General features: G+C 43.7%; 1 protein-coding gene and 1 pseudogene across 15 annotated transcripts in view; one reads left to right on the top strand and one right to left on the bottom strand.

Annotated features, from left to right (window-relative positions):
- FAM120A (family with sequence similarity 120 member A) overlaps positions 1-23,795 on the top strand; it is a 114,428-nt gene that overhangs the window by 33,052 nt on the left and 57,581 nt on the right. For all 15 annotated transcript variants that reach the window (NM_001439102.1, XM_011518413.3, NM_001439104.1 and 12 more), the window contains exons 4-5: positions 12,735-12,863; positions 14,054-14,150. In NM_001439102.1, the coding sequence (NP_001426031.1) occupies positions 12,735-12,863; positions 14,054-14,150 (226 nt within the window). The remainder of the gene's footprint in view (positions 1-12,734; positions 12,864-14,053; positions 14,151-23,795) is intronic.
- On the bottom strand, positions 8,986-10,256 carry LOC100419516 (MIA SH3 domain ER export factor 2 pseudogene; annotated as a pseudogene).

Here is a 23,795-nt window from a genome sequence, read left to right on the forward strand (position 1 = left end):
CTGATCTTTGTATTTTTAGTGGAGATGGGGTTTCGCCATGTTGGCCAGGCTGGTCTCGAGCTCCTGATCTCAGGTGATCCACCCGCCTCGGCCTCCCCAAAGTGCTGGGATTACAGGCATGAGCCACTGCGCCCGGCCTGCTGACTGTGCTTAGACCTAGAATGCTCTAGTTTTATTTTAAATAAGCAGCATAATGTCAGTCTTCAAAACGAGTGTGTAAACATTTTCTAGCTTACTTCCTACTCTGTGAGTTCAAAACGTCAGCCCTGTTTCTAACCAGGCTTTCTCCATCACTTTCTGCTTAGCATATTCACCTTCCTCTGAATGCCATGGTGACACGTGTGAATTAGTGCCATGTCCTAGTCCTAGTCCTATGTCTTCCCCCTCCACTCATGGCAGATCAGACACTGTTGTTGCACGCTAACTGTACACTGAGGGCTCCTCAACCTAGAGAATATCACCCTTAAGACATTTTGCCTGGGAACTGCCACCACCCCCTGCCCAGCCAAATCTGGCACCAGATTTGGTGCCAGGCAAGTTCCTTCCAAGACATTCTTGGTCAGAAACAGAGGGCTTGTGCTGGGTATGGTGGCTCATGCTTGTAATCCTAACACTTTGGGATGCCAAGGTGGGAAGATCACTTGAGTTCAGGAGTTCGAGACCAGCCTGGGTAACATAGTGAGACCCTATCTCTATAAAAAAATAAAAAAACTAGCTGGGTGTGGTGGCATACCCCTGTAGTCCCAACTACTTGACAGACTGAAGTGGAAGGATTGCTTGAGCCTGGGATATCAAGGCTGCAGTGAGCCTTGATCTGTGCCACTGTGCTCCAGCTTGTGCGACAGAGTAAGACCCTATCTCCACAAAAAATAAAAAGAAGCAGAGGGCTTGCCAGCAGCAGTCCCAGCTATGTCCAGCATCTTGGTTTCTTATATCTCTTGCTCACAGGCCTTGTCCAGGGTCAACTTCTCTTCCTGGCCCTCTTGCTGTGTCTTTGAGACTCTAGCCCCTGTCACCCCAAAAAGAAGCCATGTCCGCTTCGGCAGTCACTCTCCACTTCTTTCCCTCTACAACCCCTTGGCCAACCACTAATATGACTTCTGTCTCTATGGATTTGCCTATTCTGGACATTTATAAATAGAATCACACAACATGTGGTCTTTATGTCTGTCTTCTTTCACTGAGTATAGTACTTTCAAGGTTTTTCCATGTTGTAACATGTATCAGTACTTTATTCCTTTTTTAAAAAAAAGAAAAGAAAAGAAACTGTGTCCTACTCTGGAGTGCAGTCAGTGGCACGATCATAGCTGACTGTAACTTTGAACTTCTGGGCCCAGGCAATCCTCCTGCCTCAGCCTCCTTAGTAGCTAGGACTATAGGCGTGTACCACCACACTGGGCTAATGTTTTATTTTTTTTTTTAGAGACAGGGTTTCACCATGTTGCCCAGGCTGGTCTCGAACTCCTGGCCTCAAGCATCCTCCCACCTCGGCCTCCCATAGTCCTGGGATTACAGGCATGAGCCCCACACCCAGCCTACTGCATTTTTTTTTTTAATGACTGAATGATATACCATTGTGTGAATATATGACATTTTATTGCTCTCTTCATCAGTTGGTAGACACTTGGGTTATTTGTACCTTTTGGCAATTATAAATAATGTTGCTATGAACATTTGTGTATAAGTTTTTATGTGGATGTTTTCATTTTCCATGTGTATATGGCTGGGAGTAGAATTGCTGAGTCATGTAGTAGGTCTATGCTTAGATATTTTTTTCTTTCTTTTTCTTTTCTTTTTTCTTTTTTTTTTTTTTGAGACTCACTTTTTTAGAGTCTCACTCCTTTGCCCAGGCTGTGGCATGATCTTGGCTCTCTGCAACCTCTGCCTCCCAGGCTCAAGTGATTCGCTTGTGTTAACCTCCTGAGTAGCTGGAATTACAGGTGTGTGCCACCACGCCTGGCTAATTTTTGTATTTTTAGTAGAGATGGGGTTTCACCATGTTGGCCAGGCTGGCCTCAAACTCCTGACCTCAAGTGATCTGCCTGCCTTGGCTTCCCAAAGTGCTGGGATTACAGGCATGAGCCACTGTAATTGACCTATGCTTAGCTTTTTGAGGAACCACCAAACTGTTTTCCACAGCAGCTGCACAGTTTACATTCCCCCCAGCAACGTGTAAAGGTTCTGATTTCTCCACATCCTTACCAATGCTTGTTATTGTCTATTTTTTTATTTTCTCCATCTTAGTGAGCTTAATGAGGTTTCTCATTTTTGTTTTGATTTGCATTTCTTTGATGACTGATGATGTTGAATATCTTTTCCCGTGCTTATTCATCATTTTCAGACCTTCTTTGGATAAATGTCTCTTCAAATCCTTTGCTCATTTTAAAATTGGGTTATTTGTCTTTTCATCATTGAGTTCTAAGGGTTTTTGTTTTTGTTTTTTGAGACAGAGCCTCGCTCTGTCGCCCAGGCTGGAGTGCAGTGGCGTGATCTTAGCTCACTGCAACCTCCGCTTTCTAGGTTCAAGCAATTCTTCTGCCTCAGCCTCCCGAGCAGCTGGGACTACAGGTGTGCGCCACCATGCCCAGCTAATTTTTGTATTTTTAGTAGAAACGGAGTTTCACCATGTTGGCCAGGCTGGTCTTGAACTCCTGACCCCAAGTGATCCACCTACCTAGGCCTCCCAAAGTGCTGGGATTATGGGCATGAGCCACCGCACCTGGCCTGCATTCTAAGGATTTTTAATATAGTCCAGATTCAAGTCTATTATTAGATATATGATCTAAAAATATACTATTAATCTTTGCAATAAGTTTGCGTCCCAAAGTGTTACCTTAAGCAAAGAGTCAAACCCAAAGGAAATCTGTCTGATCACATTTATGTAAAACTCTAGAAAAGGCAAAACAATAGTGATAGAAAGTAGACTTGTGGTTGTCTGGAACTGCAGTGGGAAATGGACACAATGGGACTCTGGGGTGATGGGAATGTGATATTTTCTTGATTGTGATAGTAGTTACAGTATTGGAGGCATGTGTTGTAACTCATTGAATTATATGCTAAAATTGATGGATTTTATTCCATGTGAAGTATTTCAGTAAAACTGATTTAAAAAATGCTGGTGTCTGACTGTAGGCAGCCCCTCCATGTGGGCAGTATGATTCTATTCTCCTTCCCAGTTACTGTGAACATTCATCACTCTCTCCTGGGCCTCTGCTCTATTTCACACTGCTTTCTCTTAGCAGGTTCTTTATGCCAGAATATTGACACCTTCAGGCATGGTCTTCCTCAACTTCTCTTTCCTCATATACACATTTATTTTCCCATTTTTACTTCTTTCTTTTCTAGCCTGACACCAGAGTATTCCTGGCCTTCTTGAGCGTTTGTCATTGAACACATCTGGTGGGACCTCTGTGTAATCTCTCCCTCTCTTTTGGTTCTTGGCCCTCAGTTGTAAATATGAACAGATCTGCCCCATGTTCTTCTGACTACCATCTTGTGTTTCCAATGGTAGCTCCTGTCACATCCCCAACGCTTAACTTCCTTCTCTTTAATCTCATTGTCATAAGATTGCTTTTGTCAAGACCATGGATGGCTGTGTGAGCTGATCTTGTGGATGGTTTTCAGCCTCATCATAATCCTCCTCTCCTCACCGGGGCCCTCCTGCTTGGCTTTCCACATGTCAGTGTTCTGTAGTCTTTCTTTTTTTCCTCCTCGCCTCTGTTGCCTCCTACGGGTTCCATCTGTACTGTGATTCTCACACTCTCCTGGCAGATCTGTGCTGAAGTCTCAGCTACCATGAAATATATTTCTCCAGACAAGTCCCCTTCACTGAGCTCTCCGCCCAGTCCTCTCTACTTGGATGTTGCACCTGCACATCAGATTTGGCATTTCTGATTTACAAATGTCTTCATTTTCTCTAAATTGGCTTGTCCTCCTGTATTGTGCTTGCCACCTAGTACCACCACCGACCCTGCCATTCATCCAAGGTAGAACTTGGGAGTCATCTTTGATTCTTCCCCTTCCTGCATCTGCTTTGATATTTTCTGAATTGCCACATCCTCTCCTTACTTCTGTTTCAGTCACTGCTTGCTGGGATTCATGCAGGAGCCATGGACCCTCCCTTTTGCTGATCTTTTCCTCGGCTGTCCATCTTCCACATGGCTAACAAAAATGATCTGTTTAAATTCAGGTCTGATCTCATCATTCCCCTGTTTAGAATTTCTCAGTGACTCTCTTCATCTGTAGCAGTGATTTGAATTCCATGTATCTGTTAAAAAAAAAAAAAAAAGTTGGAAGACTACTGTTGTGTTGCCAACTCTTAATTTTTCTAAATAAGAATATTGGAAGAAAAAGGAATTCACCGTCTACCATCTTTTCATTAAATAAGCACATTTCAACACTTAAAAAAAGGCGCAATTTTGAATGGAAGATAAAAAGACCACAGTGCTGTGGCTAAGTGTGTAGCGTCCACTCAGCCACTCACCTGGTTGGCTGTGGTGGATACTTAGTAAGCTCCTCTATAAGATGGGGATTTTAACAGTGACTACTCATAGAGTTGTGAGGATTAAATGGAGTATGCATCCTTAGGGCACAGCCTGGGTACACAGCCCTCAAAACGATTAGAATACATGACAGGTATTCCCCCAAGAAGGGAAGGTGACCACAGTACACTACAGTTTCCTCCTTGGACTGGTGGCACTTTTTTGTAAAGAGATCCTGTCACTGCACGATGGAGCCCAGGTTCCAGTAGGACAGCTGAAGCCACCTCTGGCCTACCTGCCTTTTCGTCCTAGGCTCTAGGCCTGTAAAATGGGATGAAGAACTTTTCTTTGTTCAGTTTAAATCCTTTAGGTACTTCAGTATACGTGCATAGCAGTTTCCATCTTTGGAGTGATGGTCACACTTAGCATTATTTGTGATTAATTGCATTTTAACAGCCTTTCAAATCTTTATTTAGGCAAATGTGTACAGAATACTCATATGTGTCATAACGTTTCAAGAAATTTGAAAGCATGACTATTAGTGGTATCTGACAATTCTGGGGTCTATGTGTTTTCCTTTCTCTTGACTGTTGTACTAGAAAACCTTGGGCCTGCAGGGTGCATTTGGTGATTCTGTACCTTGCAGGGCTTGGTCAAAAGCAGAGACTGCTGGGGCCAAGGACTGTGGTGGTGACAGTTTCTTGGGGACTACACTTTGAGCTTTGCCCACATTGGATGACCAAGGAAGCATTTCTCCCTCCTCAGCCCCCAGACCTGTGCTCCACTGTGTCCTAGACTGGGGCAACATTTTGTCACCAAGAAGAATGAGAGTTTCTCGAAGTCAGGAAATTTGAAGGGTGGTTCTGTGTTCCTTTTCTAGCACAGGCCTCATCCATGAATGAATATTGACCAAATCGAGCTTCCATTTCCCTTCCTTGAAATTGCCAAAATGCAGAGTACTTCCCCTTCACTGTTTTCCACTTGGTAATGAAGTGGATCAGTTCTGCTTCAGCAATGGTACTTTGTGAAACCTGTATTTATATTCATTTGCATTTTAAATGAGCAGCTGAGAGACACTTTGGGAGCAGTGGCACCAACAGTCTCAAAATCATTTAATCATTGTTTTGTATGGTATATTTAATTAGCTTATACATCCCACAGGAATATGACCAAGTGGATTTTAGAGATTAGGTCAGACCCTGTCAAATGATCCTGTCTAGTGGTACATTTTAGAGAGCTTTGAAAGAGTTTTCAGTCAACATGTTATATGAAAAGGAATATTGGATTTTATTGAATCATTTGAGTACTGTGGCATGTTGGGTTTAACAGTTGGAATATTACATGGTAACTTCATTTAAATGAATTCACAGCTATAGAAAAAAATGTTTGATTTTAAAGATGTAACCAAGAGTGAGACTGCAGATTTTTAAGCAGTGAAATATTAGAAAACAGTGAATAAATAAATAAATGCTTCTTTAGCAGGGGCTAAATTATTTATTATTTTGCTTTCAGGAACCAGGAAGAGATTGTTTTCTTTGGATTTCAAATGTTGTTATAGTGTAGTTGTTTCTTAGCTTCCTTAAGACGCCCCTTGAGTGCCTGAAATAATTCACTGAAATCAGTGGCTCTAAAGCATCAAAGATCTTTTCTGTCTGGAGTAGTCACCAGGCAGCTTCAGTGAGGGCTTCCCATTGAAGTCCCCTTTGAGGACGTGCCTGACAGGGTTTCCATGGACTTCTGTGTCCTTGTAGTATGTAGTATGGGTGCCAGCCTCCACTCTTCACCCCTAACATGGGCCTGATAGATAGATTGGTGAGAACACATACTGCTTGTTCTGAAAGTTATGCCTGGGGTTGTCAAGCTGCTTGGAGATGAGGCCAGGGGCTCACCCTGCGTGGCCACAGCAGAAGTCCAGCCAGTGCTCCCAGCACCACCCATTTGGGGAACAGGCCCAGTAGTGTGGCCAGGCTGGTGCCCACACCACTGACCCAACCCCAAGATTGCAGCCTCTTGGAGGTTTTTTTTAAAAAACAAAACAAAGGTTGTCAAGAGTGGCCAAAGGACAAGAAATTGTAATGGGTGACAATGGGGCACCACCGCTCATGGATTGTGATATGTCAGGGAGATAGCCCTGTGGCATGCTTGCCTGGGTCAGGTTTGGTGGCATTCTGCATTCAGCTATATCCGTCTGTCAGTGATGTTTAGAAGACTGCAGAACATGTTTTTCAGTAGGAAATGATGAGGAGATTTGGGGAAAGATGACGCTAAAAGTGAAAATCTTTCACATAAGAGGATATTTTTGCATGGAGACAGTGATCAATTTCCACCCAAACAGTATCTATTTATTATTTAATGATTCTGCCTGGAAGTAAAGGGGTAGGTTGAATCTTTCAAAGGTCTTTTCCAGCCCTAAATTATTTTCTTGACCTACAAAGCAGGTAAAATTTCAGTCACAGTTAGTGAAATTGCTACACAGTGATGTGAAAAAAGCAATTGATCATAAGCGTTTGCTTGTTAATTAAGTTTACTTACTCTCCTTAGAGATAGAATGTACATATGGTTCTAGCTCTAGATATGTCGCAATTTATTTGACTTTTTTTTTTTAAATGTTAAGTTTTTGGGCTAAGATTTAAAAAAACTGATTAAAGAAAGCAGAGGAGGAAATAAATGGGACATAAATTTTTATACACTGTCTCTAAGCAGCAGACACTTCACTTGTTTAGTTTGAGTGTTAATTTTGTTTTTATGAATAGGCAAGGGCAAATTACTTTAACCCTCCTGCGTAGTTACTGCTGTGATGAGATGAACCATGTGCTATTTTAGAATCTCAGGGAAAGTTTAGCAACACTGCTGATGATGCCTTTCATGGACAAACAAGTCTTGATGTGTTTTTTTCCCACTTGTAAGTATATTGATAACTACCTTTGTGTGTGGTGTTTATACAGGTTGTGTGTGTGTGTGTGTATATATATATATATGTATATATAGAGTTATGTAGATAGATAGCATATAAATTAACTTCTCATACATATATGCTTTTATCATGTTAAAACACTTAACAAGTTTCTAAAGGATTTATCCTAGAATACCTTTTAGTACCAAGATTCCCTGTTATTTTTAAATAAAGATATATTACAACTCTCCAATCTATCTTCTTCAATTTAAAATGTCTCATGTAAAGTCCATCCATATGTCCCTGTGGTGTTGCATTTCTGTCTCCAGCCACTTTCTCATGTGGCAGGGGTGGGGTTTGTTGATGGGACCAAGCCCTTAGGACAGCACCTCTGACTCCTCCTGCACGTGGGTAGCAAATGCACACCAGGTCCTGACCCTAAGGATTAAAGAAGACGTCAGGGAGCTCATCCCGGACTGGATTTAGAAGGCTAGATTAGGAGCCATCCAGGAGGGAAGCAAGCTTCTCTGCACAGGCTCAGAGCTGCCTGCGAAGTGGGGTGGTGGAGGGTGGCTGGTGGGGAGGGCAGCTGCATGGTCAGCAAATTATAAACGGCCGGTGTTTTCGGACCAGAGGGTAGATGTTACTGAGCCACTCAGAAGGATTTAGGGGACACTTTAATTATAGCATCTATTCACTTCAAGGATCTTTTAGCTGCATGTTGTAGGGCTGGGGATAGTGATGACAAGGATATCCACAGGAACAAAAGCAGCAGGTTCTGTTTTCTTTTGAAGTGGGATGGGAGTGAAGCAGGGCTGCCCAGTTACTTGTGGTGTCTTGGGTGTAAGCCATCGTCATGGGCTGCACATGCCCCTGGGAGACAGGAGGCCCTGCACCTTCTCTATGAACTTCTTTACTTCTGGGGAAAGCCTGTTGCTGTTCCTGCCTGCTCTGGCCCGGGAGGCTGACTTGTTTGCTATGCAAGGCCCAGGCTCTCCGGGTGCTACTGCCTGTTGCAAAATAAGAAGCAATGGTGGCAAAATGTCCACCTCCCTAAATTAAACCACAAAGGTTAGGACCAAACTGTTAAAAATATGATCTTTGAGTGGTATGGTCTTGTTTTTGAGTGTATTTTGGCATTGTGTTCAAACCAAAGTTTATTCCAGCCAGTTTAATGTACTATGTTCAAGTAACAGCTCATAGATCAGAAATGGTCTCTGTTTTAAACCTTCCCATCCATATCAAACACAATGATGTTGAGGTTAAGAGGGGCCCTTTCTCTAAATGAAAATACAATACTTACCCTATATAATTTTGGAGGGCCCAAAGATGTGGAATCAGTGTATTTGTAAGAATTATATTAAACAATCTCCATTTGATAAACAGTACCTTACAATCCTAATGCTATCTATCAAACTTGAGTGAGAGCAGTTTCAGCATCAACTCTTGAACGGTAGCTAAACTAACAAGAGAGTACCCAAATGTGCTCTAAAGGGAGCAGCAGCGGCTGATGTTCTGCCAAGTCTCTGAGCGTCCGGGACCCAACTACAGGGGAAATAGAATAAAACAGGCAGGTGCTCTGTACCCAAGCCCTCACATGGTGACCTGCCTCCCTCCTGGGGGCCCAGTGTCCTCCTGGGGGCTTTCAGGCCCTGTGGGTTTTGGGCAGAGTCCCAGGAGCCAAAGGGCCACTCAGGAAAGGCTGAAACTTGGCTTCGCAGTCAGCCAGCTTCTGTCCGTAGTGGTGGTCATTTTCTTTCTGGAGCTCCTGGAGCGCTCTCTCAGTGGGCCTGGCAGCCATCCAGCCTTCCTGGGCCCTTTTCTTATGGAAGAGTATCTGCTTCTGAAAACTGGAAGTGTCTTCCTTCAATTCCTAGCGGTTGCAGGTCTGACACATGCGGTTTAAATACTAGTGCACCTTGCGAAGTCTCTGATCGAGGTCCAGGCAGTAGGCGTCCTCCTGTGTGGACTCCTACTGAGGCCCCATCACGGGTTCTTAGTGCAGTTCAGGCAGAGCAGGAAGCTTCAGCTGCAGCTTTGCGAGCTCTTTCCCCAACTGTGCCCTTGTGCCCTGCAGAGAGGCCTCTCGCCAATCGGACTTTGGATTTGTGCTGTGCGTTCTTTACTCCTTTGGAATTCTTCCCACAATTGCTTATTTGTTGCTTCAATCTTTCCTTCAGGACATTTGAAGGATGCACCTAAGTCACCGTCACCATCCACATTCTTCGGAGGAACTTGTAGCCCGGATGCTATGGGACCACCATATCCTACTTCCCTGTTCCCCTCCATTGCCAAGTCTCCATCCTGCACGTGGTTTCTATTGCTCTCCAGCAGATGCAGGATGCTTGGAGGGGTGTGGGACAGGGAGGTCATTTGCCTCACTCCAGCATTCGTGGCCTGTTCCATTACTGTCTTTGCCTGCTCCGGCTTTTCATCTTCCCCTTCTTATCTGCAGGCATTGCTTCCATCTCACAATTTCTTGGTCGGGCAGCTCTGCAGGTTGCCAGTGGTCAGTGCTGTCATTCAGATCATCTTTGCTTTGCCCCAGAAGATCTTCCCCATCATGCTGTGAAGCATGTGGGACCTGCTTTGTTCAGTCACTTGGGGAAATTCAGGAGGCCTGCTTTTCTGTGCTCTTTCAGAAGCTCACCTAGGTCCTGGTAGGAAGACCTGCTTGTTTCATTTGGAACCCTCAAGCAGGGGGTTTGGAGTGATCGAGGACTGGCCTCTGGCACGGGTGACATTAGGCCACCACAGGCTTGGGGTGCTAGCCACATCTTGGATCTGGCCATTCTATGGACCTCACCCTGGGCTGAATACCTTTGGGCCGACTCCTCTTTTCTTCCCACTGTGCGTCATGAACGTGAAGGCCACCACAGCAGTGCATGCCCAGATCACCCAGGGTTTCCATAGTTTCACTGCCACTAGTCCCATGATTCTGTACATCAGTAGTACTGCTGCCTACAGGGGGGCCAGCAGCAGCTGAGTAGGCATTGTGTGGTGGGCAGCAGGCCCTCCGTGGCTGCCAAGGGTTTGCCGCCACTTGCCAGTGGCCTGTGGGCCACAACTGACCACTTAGAACCCTGTGGAGGGTACCATCTCTAACACAAACAAGGGCTGCCATATTAGATGTGTGAGAATTAATACAGTACTATACATAAAACACTTAAAAGAGTGTCTAGCTAAGATATGTTAGCTAATATACCACCATGATCCTCAACAACAACAAAATAACAGTAACCTAATACACCGTTATAACTCACTGGAACATGTCCCTGTTTTGTGCATTCCTCATGCACAGACTTGGAAAGGCAGAGGCACTTACCAAAGGGGACTCTGCTGTTCTGCAGCCACCTTGTGACATACATGGAGGCTTTGAGAGCAGGGGCCTGGAGGGGAATGATAGAGAAGTCATGTCAATTTTAGGTTTTCCAGTACATGTAATAGAAATGTTTACACAGTACTGTAGTCTATTAAGAGTGTAATGGCATTATGTCTGAAACACAAGATACATCCCTTAATCAAAAATACTTTCAAATGCTATGATCGCTTGAGTCTACAGCGAGTTGGAATCATTTTGCTGGTGGAGGGTCTTGCTGATGGCTGCTGACTGATAAGGGTGGTGGTTGCTGGAGGTTGGGGTGGCTGTGGCCGTTTCAGGAAATTGGACAACATTCAAGTTTGTCACATCAATTGACTCTTCCTTTCATGAAAGATTTCTCTATAGCCTGCAATGTTATTTGATAGCAGTTTACCCACAGTAGAAATGTTTTATGAAATTGGAGTTAATCTCAAACCCTGCCACTGCTTTATCAACTAAGCTTATGTCCTATTCTAAATCCTTTGCTTTTATTTTGATATCTTTGATAGCATCTTCACCAGAAGTAGATTCCATCTCAAAAAGGTGCTTTCTTTGCTTGTCCATAACAAGTACTTCTTCATTTATTCAGGATTTATCATGAGATTTCAGCAATTTGGTTACATCTTCAGGCTCCACTTCTAATTCTGATTCTCTTGCTATTTCCACCACATCTGCAGTGACTTCCTCCACTTAAGTCTTAAACCCCCTCAAAGCCATTCACGAGGGTTGGAATCAACCAAGTCTTCCAAGCTCCTGTTAAGGTTGATATTTTGACATCCTCCCATGAATCATGAATGGTCTTAATGGCATTCACTTACTAGAGTAGTGAATTCTGTCCAGAAGGTTTTCAATGTGCTTAGCCCAGATGCATCAGAGGAGTCATTTTCTATGGCAGTTCTAGCCTGATGAAATGTATTTCTTTAATAATAAGACTTGAGTGTCAAAATTACTCCTTTATCCATTATGGGTTGTGGAATGAATGTTGTGTCAACAGGCATGAAGACAACATTCCTTTCCTTGTATGTTAACATGCAAGGGCTGGTCCCTCTGCAGGCTCTCGGGAGGATCCCAGCCCGTCCAGCCTCGAGCATCTGAGGCCCTGTCATGCTGCATCACTGCCTCCTTTCTCCACATTTTGAGGACCCTGTGATTCCCTTGGGCTTGTCTGGGTAATCCAGGACAGGATTCTTATTTGGAGGTCAGCTGACAGGCAGCCTTCATTGAATTTTGCCACGCAATGCAGCATATTCGCAGGTTCTGGAGAGGAGGATGTGGACAGCTTTGGGAGGTCATTGTCCTGCCTACCGCAAAGCTCTTATTAGGTGGCTGGTCTTCTTTTTCAACCTGTTAACTTACGTTTTTCTAGTGTCAGCTGTTTTTGGCTAATGAGATGTTCCTACTCTTTATTTGATATTCTTTGTCACTTTCCTCAAACATGCCCCTCAACAGGCAGTGATACCATTTTTCTCCAGTTAGAGCTGAAGTTGGCCTTTGAAGGTGGATTCAAGGACTTGGTAACTGCATTTCTGCTTACAGTTTCAGGGAGTCCTGGGCTCTAATCTAAAGATTCTACTTGTGCAGGCCTTCATCTTTGTTGGTTGGTGTTGAAAGAAAGGGAGCGAATGGTGGCTCCAGGCCTTCTCTCTGGGCTGCTTTGTGCTTCGCTTGTTATGGGTGCAGGTCCTGGCCTTGGAATTAATCGCAAACAAGTCTTGGACTTCTCAGAAGTGGTGGAAGACTGTCAGATGCTCTTTTCACCCAACACAGTTTAAGCAGCTGAGTTGTATTTCATCCACTGAAAGGAAAATCCAGTTCTTGAGCTTCAGAACGTGAACGGCTTAGGAAAGTCTTAGGGCCAAGATCTTACAAGTGGACAATCATTGGGCACTGATAAGATCTTAGATGGTAGCTCCTTGTTGAATTTCTGGCTCCTGCATTCAGATTAGCCTGGTACTGGTTGCTCACCATCCACTGTTGACACTTACGTTTGTTTTCTCAGGTCCGGGCCCACCAGCTGGTCTTGCCACCTTGCGACGTAGTGATCAAAGCCGTTGCTGACTATGTACGCAACATTCAGGACACCTCTGACTTGGATGCCATAGCTAAAGATGTTTTCCAGCATTCACAGGTAAAAAAAAAAACAAACAAAACAAAAAAACAGATTCATGGGATATGACGTTGCATAGTGGTGTGGCCAGGTTTGGAAGAAGGGGACTTGAGGGTGCAAGCTGACTGGATGGGTCTGAGAGCTCTTGCTCAGGCCACTGGAAGAAAGCTGCAGGTTGCAAGGCCAGAGGCTGAGGTAGCCTGGTCATGTTCCCTGCCAGCCAGGAAGTCTCAGCCACTTCACCCAGCTTTTCCAGGCTGAATAAAAGGGAGATTCAGTTAGACGGTTGGTGAGGTCTCCTGCTCATAAGTTCTCGATCTTAACTTAATAGGATCTGTATTTCAGAGTTTTCAGAACATGAACTGTATCAAGTCAGTCATATGGCATTATAAATCTCTGATTTGTCTGTTTTCTTCAGGTGATTGTCAGGGATTTTCTTCTTTTTTGGGGAAGTAGGTGTGCCAACAAGTTGGCATCAGTAGAATAGGCAAGGCTCTGTGAAACTCCTGCTGTGTCTCTAGAGAGCTGAAATGCAGCCAGGCACGGTGGCTCATGCCTGTAATCCCAGTACTCTGGGAGGCCGAGGCGGGCGGATCACGAGGTCAGGAGTTTGAGACTAGCCTGGCCAACATGGTGAAACCCTGTCTCTATTAAAAATACAAAAATTAGCCAGGCGTGGTGGTGGGCGCCTGTAATGCCAGCTACTCGGGATGCTGAGGCAGGAGAATCGCTTGAAACCGTAAGGCAGAGGCTGCAGTGAGCGGAGATCATGCCACCGCACTCCAGCCTGGGTGAAAGAGCGAAACTCCGTCTCAGAAGAAAAAGAGAGAGCTGAAACCCTGGGCAGGAACATCCCCAGTCTGTCACTGCCATCCGTTCCCTTGGTACAGATGGCTTGAGATTCCTCTCTGGGCAGGACCAGAGACCGAGCAGAGTGGAAGTCAGGGAAGTCCTAGAGCTAGAACCCAGGGCCCTGACTACCACTTTGGAGTTCTGCTCTTGTGACTACATTGCTTTAAAAGAATTCACGTTTGGTTTGATTCTTTTGTAGTAATCTATTGATTTTCCCTGAAAGTTTTAATGTCATTCAAAATTCTTCTCTAACTTGAAAAGCTGTAGAATATTATACATGTGCTGAATTATAAAAAACATTGTGATACACATGACCAGTGGCACACTAATTTATGAAGGTTTTCCTGCCTTTATTTCAGTCTAGAACAGATGACAAAGTTATTCGATTTAAGAGAGCAATTGGATATTATTCAGCGACTAGTAAGCCTATGTCATTTCATCCACCACATTACTTAGGTAAGTAAATAAAAGCCTGTGATCAATATTGACCATATGATAATCCAAGTAGGTTTAAATATTCACCATATAATCTTGTAGGTTTATGTTTTTGAAACATGATTTTCTGTAGTTATGCCAGTAAGTATAGCCAAACTTCCTGGGCAGACTCAGTAGCAATCCCTGAAAATATTGAGGAGGAAGAGAACTTAACAGCCTTCATAGGATGAAGAAGAATCAGAGGGCATTGTGCAGATGAGGCAGCAGGTCGAGGGGATGTTGACGTCTTGGCAGCTCTGAGATATCCGCTTCTAAATACAGAATTGCCTGAGGACGTAGAAGGGCCTCCACAACTGCAAGTGATTTCATAAATGCAGTGTATTTGTAGTCTCTCTTTTCTTGACCCCTGCCTTTTTTTTTTTTTAATTCTTTTTTGTTGTTGAGCAGAGTATTGCACTGTCGCCCAGGCTGGAGTGCAGTAGTGTGACCTCGGCTCACTGCAACCTCTACCTCCCAGGCTCAAGTGATTTTTGTGCCCCAGCCTCCTAAGTAGCTGGGATTACAGGCATGCGCCACCATGCCCAGCTAATTTTTGTATTTTTAGTAGAGATGGGGTTTCACCATGTTGGCCAGACTTGTCTCGAACTCCTAGCCTCAAGCGATCTGCCCATCTCAGCCTCCCAAAATGCTGGGATTACAGGCATGAGCCACCACGTTCAGCCTGCAAAAGACCAAAAGTTAATTCAGAGATTTGAAATTGGGAAATAAAAATATTTATAAGCTGTTAGCCTGAAGCCTGCTTCATATTGAACGTCTTGTGGAGGTTATAAAGCACTAAACTGTAAGTAGAAGTATGAGAAATAGACCCCAACTCTCATTTAAATTGTGTTGTTTGCTTCATCTAAGTTAACAAAAGAATGATTGCATGTTCAAGAGACTCTTACTGGAAGGAGACTTTGTATTTATTTGAGAAGACTAATTCCAAGATTGAAAGTGGCCTTAAGAGCTGCACCCTTCATTTATTCAAGCATAGTGTCTGCTGTATGCTAGGAACTGGGCATTGGAGATCAGAGGCATGGCACTGGCTTTGGCTGCCTATGTATGTGGCTGGGTGGTGGACAGGGAAACATGGCCTGTGCCGATGCCCTGTAATAAAGGAGGTAGGGCTTGTAACCTGGAGATGGGCATGGAGTGGCTGAATCTCCACTGCGAGGTCAGTAAATGGCAGCAGCCTCCCAGTGGGGCTCTTTGCTGCTCTCTTGCTCCCCTGCAATCCATTTTCTTCCCAGCAGCCAAAGTAATGTTTAAAAATGGCAGTTGGACTGTGCTACTCCCATGCTCAGAATTCCCCATTGGCTTCCCGTCACACTTGGAATAAATTCCCAACTACTTACCTTGCTTCCTCCCCATCATCTGAGACTGCTGGCTTCTCACTCCTGAGCGCAGCCTCCTTTCTTGCCTTGCATGAACCAAGCTAGCTTCTGCCCTGGGCCTCTGGGCCGGCTTTTGTGCCTGGAGGGCTCCTTTCTCTGACCAGCTTGTGTTTGTGCCCTTCTGATTTGTGAGATCCAGGCTGTCGTGTTCTCCAAGGTCTGCCTGGCTTTAAATCTCTGCACACTCCTTGGCTTCTATTTGTCACCACCACCACCCCTTCCCCCGTCACTCCCCACAATGTAAAGTCTAGGGTAATGAGGGCCTATTAGTCACCTTTACTTTTATATCCCCAGTGGATAAATATTTGACTGAATGAATTGATCCACTTGGTTTTTAAATCAAGAGAGTGAAGTGGTGAGATGTGTTTTAGGATTATTTTTGGAAAAGGGGGCACAGAGCATCAGCAGGAGGGAGACTAGCTGTATACTGTTTCATCAGTTAAGGTGAGGCATTATGGGACCAGATCTCAGTGTGTCTACTGTATACCCTGCACACAGAAGATGTCTAATAATTGCTTGTGGGAATGATGGGGAGCATGAACATTGCCACCTGTGGCCTACTGCCTCCTGACCTCGAGCTCCCTATTTTATAGAATGGGGTCATTATGTGAATATTAAAAGAGAAGGCGTATGTAAGGTGCTTTAGTGAAGTACTTGTTCAGTCATTCAATGCCCTTTTAGGTAATTCTGCCTATAAGAATAACAGATACTGTCTGATAGTAGATACTGTCATTATTCTTCTCATTGGCAGAATGGCCTCAACAGGCACTGAATGATTGGGCATTGGAATGAGCAGTGAGGAGCCTGAAGGAGCGCTCAGAGGTGGGGCCGGCAGTCTCCTGTGTTTCACTGACATTGTGCTCCTGTGGGACAGTCTGTATGGCAGGTGTAGTTTAGAAAGTCCTTAGAGTGTACTTGGGACTGGAAAATCTACTTAGGAGAAAATTAGGAAGATAAGTATAGAGAAAGGCAGCACACTTAATATTTGGCATTGATCTGGGCTCATAATTATGAAGATGTTTTGAATAGGCAAGGTGAGTTAAGTTTGAATATCTTAAAAATATGTTCTGTCAAGTGCTTTTGTGTTCTTATCAAATTATTAAGATTTTAGGTGAGTATTTTAGAGGTGAAGTTTACTCAGAATTTAGTTTCACTTTCATTTTCACTACTCGGTGGTTTATGGAGAACAGCAAAGTAACTGGTAGAGTTTGGGATGCTTGGGATGATAGTTTGAGGCAGCTTAGGGTAGGCATGAACTGCCTGTAAATCCTCCTGTACAGCATTCCCTGATGCTTCTGGCTGTTGCAGAAATGAGGGTTGTATGCGGAGGGACTAACAAAAGTACAGGCACAGAATGACAGCCAGGCAGGAAGTTTGGGCAGTGTAGAATTTTAAGATGACGGGTATGCAGTCTGGAATGGCAGGAGACAAGCCTGGAGAGAGGCTTCAGGCAAGATTGGGAAGGACGTTTTGTTTCAAGCTGCATACACATGATTTGGAACTAGCAGAAATGGATTCTTGTAAAAATAACTTTAGTTTTTTTCTGATAACTCTGAAGAAACATAAATTACATTAGCTGTCATTGATTTTTACCCCTGCATACTACTGGGATCCTACCAGTGAAACTAACAGGGCGAAGACTGGAACCTAAGTTGAAAGTCTAGAAGGAACAACATGGAGTCGGTGGGACCCTTTCTGGCAACTCAAGTTAGAACCCATGATGTATTTTCCACAGAAATATTTTTATAAGTAGTAGATAGGTCCTAAGTGGTCTTTGGTGATCTGTCATAGAATCCAACCACAGTCCATTATATTATTCTACAGGAAAATAATTCAGAATTTTGAAGAACCAATGTGGGGATATTAGTTTCTTGTTGTATTAGAATTTATCTTATTAATCATTCAGAAATTGGAATATGTGTAGAGTTTTGAAGAAATTTTAGGGTAATCATATTATAAGCTTAGAGAGCATGGCTATAGGGGAAAAACATGGGGTGAGTTGATCTAACCAGAGGTTTCTAAACTTGGCTGGAATTTTAGATTCCACCTCAAAACTGCTATTTTAGCATCTTAATTGGGCCTTAGGAATTTATATTTTTTAAAAAGGAATGTTCCTAGCTAGGTACCAGTTGGCCTGGCTTTTAGGAACCACAACTCATCCTCTGTGCCTTTCTTTGTAAGCCTGTAAATCTATCTGCAATATTGAGAAAAATACCTCAGATCTCTAAACAGTTATTGGGTAGTGTAGAGTTCTTAGGAGGACACATACACACACACACACACACACACACACACACACACGCACACTTGCAATATAGTCTCCCAGAAATTGTGTATTTTGAGATGATTTTGAAAATAAGTGGTGGTGAGATGCATACTTATTTTTAAGCATTCACTATGTCATAATTACTAAGCGAGGACCTGCCTATCTGGAAATGGTTGTGATTTGTTCTTTCTGTCTCAGCATGTAAAATCTGCTATAGCTCTCCACGAAATCACCAATCTAAATGCAAGCACAAATAAGATATGTGATAGTTGAGATTTCAAAATATTTAGTTCCCTAGTTAAACCAGTTGCTTCAAAATCATTGGTGGAATTTACTAAAGTAACAAGTAACACAACTAACACTGAGGTCTCACCTCAGATCTGTGGATGTGGAATCTATGGGCACAGATCCCGTGTGCAGGTGAAATTGAGGCTGAAGAAGTAGCCACTGTGTCATTGGCCTTCCTTAGTGAAAAGTAAATGGGCTCCTACTACACATTTTAATTACACATTTGTTAGAATGATTAACATAGAAAACACCAACAACACTAAATGCTGGTGAGGATGGGTAGCAACAGATTGTGCTGCTAATGGGATTGCAAAAATGGTACAGCGACTTTGGAAGACAGCTTCGCAGATATTTACAAAATTCCCAAGTCATGCTTGTTGGTGTTTGCCCAAAGGAGTTGAAAACTTATGTCTACGCAAAAACCTGCACACAGATATTTAAAGCAACTTTATTCATAATAGCCAACGCTTGGAGGCTACCAATATGTCTTCAGTAGGTCAACAGGGAAATAAAGTTTGGTGTATCTAAGCAATGAAATAATCAACACTAAAAAGCAATGCGCTATCAAGCCATGAAAAGATGCAGAGGAACATAAGTACATATCACTAAGTGAAAGAAGCCAATCAGAAAAGGCTACATACTGTGCGATTCCAACTATAGGACATCTGGAAAAGGCCAAAAGTATGGAGGCAGGAAAAAGATCAAGGGTTGCCAGAGGTTGTGGGGAGGGAGGGATGATTAGGCAGATTTTTGGGGCAGTGAAACTATTCTGTATGATACTGTAACGGTGGATACATGGCATTATACTTCTAGCCATATCCAGAATACGTACAGCACCAAGAGTGAACCCTAATGCCAACTGTGGGCATTAGGTAATCATAATGTAGCCAGGTTTGGCTCATTGGTTGGAACAAATGTGTCACACCAATGCGAAGTGTGTACTCTGCTCAAGATTTTTGTAACCTTGAAACTGCTCAAAAAAAAAAGTATATATATATATATTTTAAAGTAAAGAGCTCGTTGATTTGTGCATTTCATGACAGGCAGTGTGCTGGGTGCTGAATGGTGTGGTAAATAAGAGAGGAGTTACCGTTGCCCCTACAGATGAATGTATAGTGGGGAAGTGAACACCAGGGAATCCTGCAGGAAAGAGAACAGGAACCTCAAGGAAGACCAACCTGATTGAATCAATCTACGATTAAAATGGCTGGTTCTGATTGATTAGATTATTGTTGAGTGGGGTTTGGGGGTTCAGGCATCTAGCAAGGTGCCAATATGGGAAGAAGTGTATTCCATGCAGGGGAGGTGGCATGTGAGAGGTCCTGAGTTAGGAGGACATAGTGAAGAAGAAAAATAAGAAGAATGTGGTTGAAGCACAGAAAGCGGGGAGAGTGGTCAGGTGATGCTGAGAGCGGCAGTGCAGTTGCCAGGCACCACCTTGGATTTTAGACTTTATTCTTAGAACGTGAAAGCTCATGGAATAATTTTTACCTGTAAAAAAAATGATTTTGTAACTATCATACTACAATGTGTTAGTCTTAGAACATTACTAATATCTTAGCCCTCTTATATGTCTTCGCTGGTTGCATTCCTCGACTCTCTACCACCCTCAATTTTGTATTAGTTATTCTGTGCTTCTCTATATAATTTTATCGTGTCTGTATGTCTGGATACTAAATAGTTTCATTTTGTTTGTTATGAAATAAAATCATATAGCATGTACTCCTCTGACTTGCCTTCTTAATATTTATATTATTGTGTTTCATTCATGTTGGCATAGTTCATTTTTTAATGCTGTGCAGCATTCCATTGTATTAATATATATTTGTCCATTCTACTGTTGATGGAAAATGGACTGTTTCCAGCTGCTTGCCATGATGGATAGCGCACTTGTGAACATTGTTTCATGTGACCTGATGTGCCCAGGAGTGGAATTCCAGGGAACCTCCAGGGTAGGGCCCTGTTCAAGCCTCTGCTGCTGCCGGACACGGATACACCTATTTATTCTCCTGGCAGAAGTGAAAGAACCCTCTCATTGCTCCACGTTTTATTATTTTTTGGTCTAGTGATTATGAAACTATATCCTGTAAAGGTTTCAGTTGCATTTCCCTGATTACTAATGAGGTTGAGAATCTTTATGTTTATGGGCCAGTAGGGTTTCCTCTATTGTGAAATGCTTGTTCATGTTGTTCGCTTGTGTTTTTTTTTTTTTTTTTTTTTTTTTTTGAGAAGGAGTCTCGCTCTGTCACCCAGGCTGGAGTGCAGTGGCGCAATCTCGGCTCACTGCAAGCTCCGCCTCCCAGGTTCACACCATTCTCCTGCCTCAGCTTCCCGAGTAGCTGGGACTACAGGCACTCGCCACCACGCCTGGCTAATTTTTTGTATTTTTAGTAGAGATGGGGTTTCACAATGCTAGCCAAGATGGTCTCAATCTCCTGACCTCGTGATCCGCCCGCCTCGGCCTCCCGAAATGCTGGGATTACAGGCGTGAGCCACTGCGCCCGGCCTGTTCGCTTGTGTTTCTGTTGGGTTGTTTTTCTTTTTGCTTATTCATAGGGATACTTAATATATATATTGGATGCTAGTCAGATAAATGGACTGCAAATAATAATCTTCCAATCTGTGGCTTGCATTTTTCTGTCTTCATGATGTGCTTTGATATCAGAGTTCTTAATGTCAAATACATGAATTTTTCCCTTTGTTGTTTGTACCTTTAAGTCCTATCCTGTATTTATGGATGAAATGATGTCATGTCTGAGATTTGCTTCACAATAATGCAGTAGTGGGCAAAGAAGGGTGGAAGTGCAGATGACACGCAATAGGCTGTGTGCTGGTTAATTTTGAGGGTGGTTGATAGATATGTGTGGCTTATTGTACAGTTCCCTTTTTTCTTGTGTTTGTTTAAAGTGTTACATGAGAAGGAGAAAAAGAAAACATAAAGGAAGAATTCCTCCCTAGCCTGAGGTGATAAACACTTTGTCTTCTAAAAGTTTTATTTATGATTTTGCCCTTTGATACTACCTGGCACTGAATTTTGTTTATGGTTTTTGAGTGAGGGAATTCAGTTTCTTGTTCACCGTGTGGAGAACCTGTTGCCTTAGTATTGTCCACTGAGAATGCTATCCTCTTCTGACATGTTGAGTGTCTCCGTGTGTGGGTCTGTTTCTGGGCTCAGTTCTGTTGAATTTCTGATTATCTTCATGCCACAGGATTATGCCGTTCTAGTTGCCATAGCCTTGTAATAATACTTGATGTCTGATTGGGGAAATCTGCCCATGTAATATTTCTGCAAGAGGTCGAGACTGTTCTTGATCCTTTTCACTTTTATGTACATTTTATGATCCTTGTGGAGATTTTGATTGGAATTACACCAACTCTGTAGATCAATTTGGAAAGAATAAAATCTTTATTATTGAGTGTACTAAAGAAAATGTTACATTTCTTTATTGATTTGAATTGTCCTGAATATCTTTCCGTAAACTTGAATTTTCTTCATTAAGCATTCATAACATCTTTTCTTAGAGATATTGCTAAATATTTATTTTTGGGTGCTATTTCTATGTGTGTCTTATATTTTCAAATTAATACTGTAAGTTGATTTTATCTTAACAACTTTGCTCAGTTCTTATTAATTTTCATAGTTTATTTGTATCTTGCTTTGGCTGATTGTGTCTCCTCTAGTATCTTTTTGATCTTCCTGATCCACTGAGCCAGCTGTGACTTAGGGCATGATTTTTTTTTTTCTTCTTTTTTTTTTGTTTTCAAGATGGAGTCTCGCTCTGTCGCCCAGACTGGAGTGCAGTGATACAATCTCAGCTCACTGCAACCTCCACCTCCTGGGTTCAAGCAATTCTCCTGCCTCAGCCTCCCGAGTAGCTGGGATTACAGGTGCCTGCCACCATGCCCGGCTAATTTTTGTATTTTTAGTAGAGACGGGGTTTCACTGTGTTAGCCAGGCTGATCTCGAACTCCTGACCTCATGATCTGCCCACCTCGGCCTCCCAAAGTGCTGTCCACAAATGGACAGGTGTGAGCTACCACACCTGGCCGGGGCACGATTTTTAATAGAAGGTGCGATGGTGACTGTTCTTGTCTAGCCCTTGATCTTAAGGGGGAGTCTGATGTCTTGTCATCTTAACCCTTAGCATTATCTCCTCTACCTTTTCCATGTTAAAGAAATATCCTCATGAAAGAGTTTTAATCTGGGAGTGGTGTGCTGAGGTGTGCATTTGAATTGCTTGGGCCTCAGTGTGCAGAGGGGATCAGAGTGGGCAAGGGCAGGTATAGGGAAAGGAGTGGGAAACTCTTTCAGTATTGAGGCAAGGCATGGTTGCAGTCCCTGGGGCAAGTTCTCCTCTGTGGGAGGCAGGAGTGCTGGGTGGATTTCATAGGTTTTTGGGAGATGGAATAAGTAGATAGTAGATATTGATGCTTGATTATAGAAGCTCAATGAAAAGAATTCGGGGGAAATGGCTCCCAGAGTTTTGGCTTGAGCAGCTCAGGTGAGGATGCCATTAATGAGATAAAGATGGTTGGAGGAAGAGCAGATTTGGAGGATGGTTTTGGATACGAATGTTGAGGCGCCTTCTAGGATCCCGGTGGAGATGGGAAACAGGCATTAGAATGCACAGGTGAAAGCAGAGTGAGGAGCTAAGCTGGAGTCATGGGTTGCAGCTTTGCTGGTGTGTAATGCTGAGAGGAGCTGTGGTGGTGGAAGCGGAGGATAAAGAGATGGCGCCCCTGGGGCCAGATGCAGGAGGTGGGTGCACAGAAAGAGTGGCTCAGCGAGGCCAGGGGAGATACCCTGTGCACAGTTGTTAGCAGCGCTGAGTTCTGAGAGGTTGGGCAAGATGAGGGCGCTGCCTGATAGATGGAGTGTCAGTAGGACCACTCAGGGCAGGCTTCGGCTGAATTTGGAGCTCCCAAACCTTGTGTATGTACAATTGGTTGGCCCTCAATAAGAGGCAGTGGATCCTAGGAAAAGTCATTTTTAGCTTTCCTTCTTCCTCAGTATAGAAATTCGTAGAAGAGGATAGGATGGGTGGCAAGTACCACGCCTCTCTCCAGTCATTTCCATAAAGGGGTGGGGCTTTGAAATGCAGGGGAGAATTGAACAGGTTGAAGTTGTTATGGGGATGATGACTACTGAGAGAGAGGGGTTAAAGATACAGAAGGGAGTGGTTTTGGTGCACATGTGGTTTTACAGTGAAGGTAGGGGAGCTTGATCTCTCATAGCAGACAGCCTCCTGCTACCTGGTCTTTTGAAAGTCTAGCCTCCACTAAGCAGCATGGGGAGGTCACAGAGTGAGTAGACTGAGGGCATATGTGTAGAGCAGCCAGGCTGCTGTGTGTCAGAGAAGAAATTTGCAAATAGGACCATGTTGAAAAAGGTGCTAATCAGTACTAAGCAAAGAACAGATGCTACACAGTGATGAGCAACCTGGTCCTGGTCACAGCAACACAGTGACCTCTGGGTGTAGCAGCTGCCAGGTGCTTGGGAAGGGCCCCGTGGTGTGTTTCATTGGGACAGGAGCCTGTGGTCAGCCTGTGCCCTGACAGGTCCCCAAGGCTGGTCACATTCTACCAGACCAGACTGTGTCTGAGGGATCACCTTCCTGCAACGCCCAGTGACTGACCTGGATGCAGACCTAGGAGACAGCAGGCTGAGTGGCCTGGGGT

This window comes from Homo sapiens, chromosome 9, assembly GCF_000001405.40.
Source record: "Homo sapiens chromosome 9, GRCh38.p14 Primary Assembly".
NCBI classification, from domain to species: domain Eukaryota; kingdom Metazoa; phylum Chordata; class Mammalia; order Primates; family Hominidae; genus Homo; species Homo sapiens.